We start from the raw sequence: 3433 nt of genomic DNA, 5'->3' as shown, positions 1-3433 counted from the left end.
GGGCACGACCTCTTCCTCACCACCAACACCCACCCTATCCCATCTACCATAGTGTGCTTGCCACAGCGAAGATGATTCCATAAAACACCACTTGTGCTCTGAAACCACAGGGACCCACGTCTGCCTGGACCCGGAAAAACGGTGCAGAATATAGCAGGTTTCTGGCCGGGCGCGTTGGCTTACGCCTGTCATCCCGGCATTTTGGGAGGCCGAGGCGGGTGGATCGCTTGAGGTCAGGAGGTCGAGACCAGCCTGGCCAACATTATAGGTGTGAGCCACCGCCCCCAGCCTGGGACCTTATTTGGAAATAGCGTAGAGATGCTGAAACCCCATCTCTACAAGGAATACAAAATATTAGCCGGGCGTGGTGGCGGGTGCCTGTAGTCCCAGCTACTCGGGAGGCTGAGGCAGGAGAATCGCTTGAACCCGGGAGGCGGAGGTTGCTGTGAGCAGAGATAACACCACTGCACTCCAGCCTGGGTGACAGAGCAAGACTCCATTTCAAAAAAAAAAAAAAAAAAAACAAAAGAAGAAAAGAAAAAAAAAAGAGAGAGTTTTTGTCACGGAAACGCCTGACAGTGCCTTGAAGCTGGGGATTAAGAGTGAATTGCATAGTTGGGATTCTGCAGCCAGAAAGTCATCGCGGAGTTAACGCAGTGCCTGGCCGAGGCTTCCTGAAAGCTGCTGGTCCCTGACCTCTGGGGCACGAACAAGACATCTGAAAATAACTGGGGTTCCGTGCTGCCAAAACGGCACCGGACGTCAGCTGTTCTCCCCGGAGGCATTCCTTCCACACACGGGTTCCTTTGGAGGACAAAGGGAGCAGATGCTGCCGGCCGAGCCTACGGCCTCTTCAGTCCTGGAGGGTGTGGGGGGCAGGAGGAGAGGGCTGCGGTGTCTGGGGCAGCCTCGTCCGGCCACTTCTCAGCAAGACGTCCCTCTGTGCTGTTGAACAACCATGTCTGGACTTTTTTTTTTTTTTTGAGACGGAGTCTCGCTCTGTCGCCCAGGCTGGAGTGCAGTGGCACGATCTCGGCTCACTGCACGCTCCGTCTCCCGGGTTCACGCCATTCTCCTGCCTCGTCCTCCCGAGTAGCTGGGACTACAGGCGCCCGCCACCATGCCCGGCTATTTTTTTTTTTTTGTATTTTTAGTAGAGACGGGGTTTCACCATGTTGGCCAGGATGGTCTCAAACTCCTGACCTCGTGATCCGCCCGCCTCGGCCTCACAAAGTGTGGGATGACAGGCATGAGCCACTGCGCCCGGCCTATTTATTTTATTTTATGTGAGACAGGGTCTTGCTCTGTTGCCCAGGCTGGAATGCAATGGTGTGATCTCGGCTCACTGCAGCCTTGACCTCCTGGGCTCAAGTGATCCTCCCACCTCAGCCTCCCGAGTAGCTAGGACTACAGGTGCACACCACCATGCTGGGCTAATTTTTTTTGGGGGGGGGGTAGAGATGGCATCTCACTACGTTGCCCAGACTAGTTTCAAACTCCTGGGATCAAGTAATCCGCCTGCCTCAGCCTCCCGAGTAGCTGGGACTACAGCATGGGCCACCATGCCCAGCTAATTTTGCTTTTTGGTAGAGATGGGGTCTTGCTATGTTGCCCAAGCTCATCTCAAATTCCTAGGCTCCAGTGATCCTCTCACCTCAGCCTCCCAAAGTACTGGGATTACAGGCAGGAGCCATCCGGCCCGGCTTTTTTTTTTTTTTTTTTTTTTTCAGATGGCATCTCGCTCTGTTGCCCAGGCTGGAGTGCAGTGGTGCAATCTCGGCTCATTGCAACCTCCGCCTCCTGGGTTCAAGTGGTTCTCCTGCCTCAGCCTCCTGAGTAGCTGGGATTACAGGTGCCCACCACCCCACCCAGCTAATTTTGTATTTTTAGTAGAGACGGGGTTTCACCATGTTGGTCAGGCTGGTCACGAACTCCTGACCTTGTGATCCGCCTGCCTCAGCCTCCCAAAGCCCAGCCCTGATTTTTGAATACTCTCTGTACTTCCCAAGTTTTCTCCAATCAGCAACTACTCCTTTTACAAAGAGGAAAAAAACAGTTTTCTGTACTACAGTGCTGTAAATCACTACCCCTGGCTATCAGAAATACGTCCTTCTGGCCGGGCGCAGTGGCTCACGCCTGTAAATCCCAGCACTTTAGGAGGCCGAGGTGGGCGGCTCACGAGGTCAGGAGATCGAGACCATCCTGGCTAACACGGTGAAACCCCGTCTCTACTAAAAATACAAAAAAATTAGCCGGGCGTGGTGGCGGGCGCCTGTAGTCCCAGCTACTCAGGCGGCTGAGGCAGGAGAATGGCATGAACCCGGGAGGTGGAGCTTGCAGTGAGCCGAGATCGCGCCACTGCACTCCAGCCTGGGTGACAGAGCGAGACTCTGTCTCAAAAAAAGAAAAAAAAAAAGAAATACATCCTTCTGTCATTCAGAAAAATGTGCATTTCGGCCGGGCACGGTAACTCACGCCTGTAATCCCAGCACTGTGGGAGACTGAGGCAGGCGGATCACGAGGTCAGGAGATCGAGACCATCCTGGCTAACATGGTGAAACCCTGTCTCTATTAAAAATACAAAAAATTAGCCGGGCGTGGTGGCGGGTGCCTGTAGTCCCAGCTACTAGGGAGGCTGAGGCAGGAGAATGGCGTGAACCCGGGAGGCGGAGCTTGCAGTGAGCTGAGATCACGACACTGCATTCCAGCCTGGGCGACAGAGTGACAGTCTGTCTCAAAAAAAAAAAGAAAGAAAGAAAGAAAGAAATACGTCCTTCTGTCATTAAGAAAAATGTGCATTTCACCAACTACACTCTGAGTCAAATGTAGGTCTTACGCAGAAAAAAAAAAACAAAGCTTTTACCGAAATGGGTACCCAGGCTCCATTCTCAATTTGCTTAAAATTTATGCTGAGCGAAATAAAAGAAGGCGTCACATCTGACATGCTAAGACTTTTTGCCTCATTTCAGATTAGGAGGAAAATCCACCCCATAGCAAAAGTCCGATATCTATCGTTCTAGTTAAAGAATCACCTAGAGGCCAGCGCGGTGGCTCACGCCTGCAACATCCCAGCACTTTGGGAGACTGAGACGGGTGGATCACCTGAGGTCAGGAGTTCGAGACCAGCCCGGCCAACATGGTGAAACCCTGTCTCTACTAAAACTACAAAAATTAGCTGGGCATGCTGGTGGGTGACTGTAATCCCAGCTACTCGGGAGGCTGAGGCAGGAGAGTCACTTGAACCTGGGAGGCGGAGCTTGCAGTGAGCCGAGATTCTGCCACTATAGCACAGGCGAGATAGCGAGACTCCATCTCAAAAAAATAAATAAATAAAATAAAATAAAAGTGAACTGTTTCACAGTAGCTGGATTTCGTAACGGCCCAAAAGCAGAAACCACTCAAGTGTCCACCAGTGGATGGGTGGATTAGCACA

The 3433-nt window shown here is 52.2% G+C and overlaps 1 annotated feature.

Annotated features, from left to right (window-relative positions):
- Nucleotides 548-1433: an enhancer, noted in NCBI's record as "H3K27ac-H3K4me1 hESC enhancer chrX:357819-358704 (GRCh37/hg19 assembly coordinates)". NCBI's record gives its function as "activates a minimal SCP1, AML or CMV promoter by ChIP-STARR-seq in primed H9 embryonic stem cells {active_cell/tissue: H9 hESC(primed)}" and the evidence as "EXISTENCE:reporter gene assay evidence [ECO:0000049][PMID:30033119]".

Source organism: Homo sapiens, chromosome X (genome assembly GCF_000001405.40).
Source record: "Homo sapiens chromosome X, GRCh38.p14 Primary Assembly".
Lineage (NCBI taxonomy): Eukaryota > Metazoa > Chordata > Mammalia > Primates > Hominidae > Homo > Homo sapiens.
The sequence above is the reverse complement of the archived record's forward strand: the minus strand, read 5'-3'. Positions and strand labels throughout refer to the sequence as shown.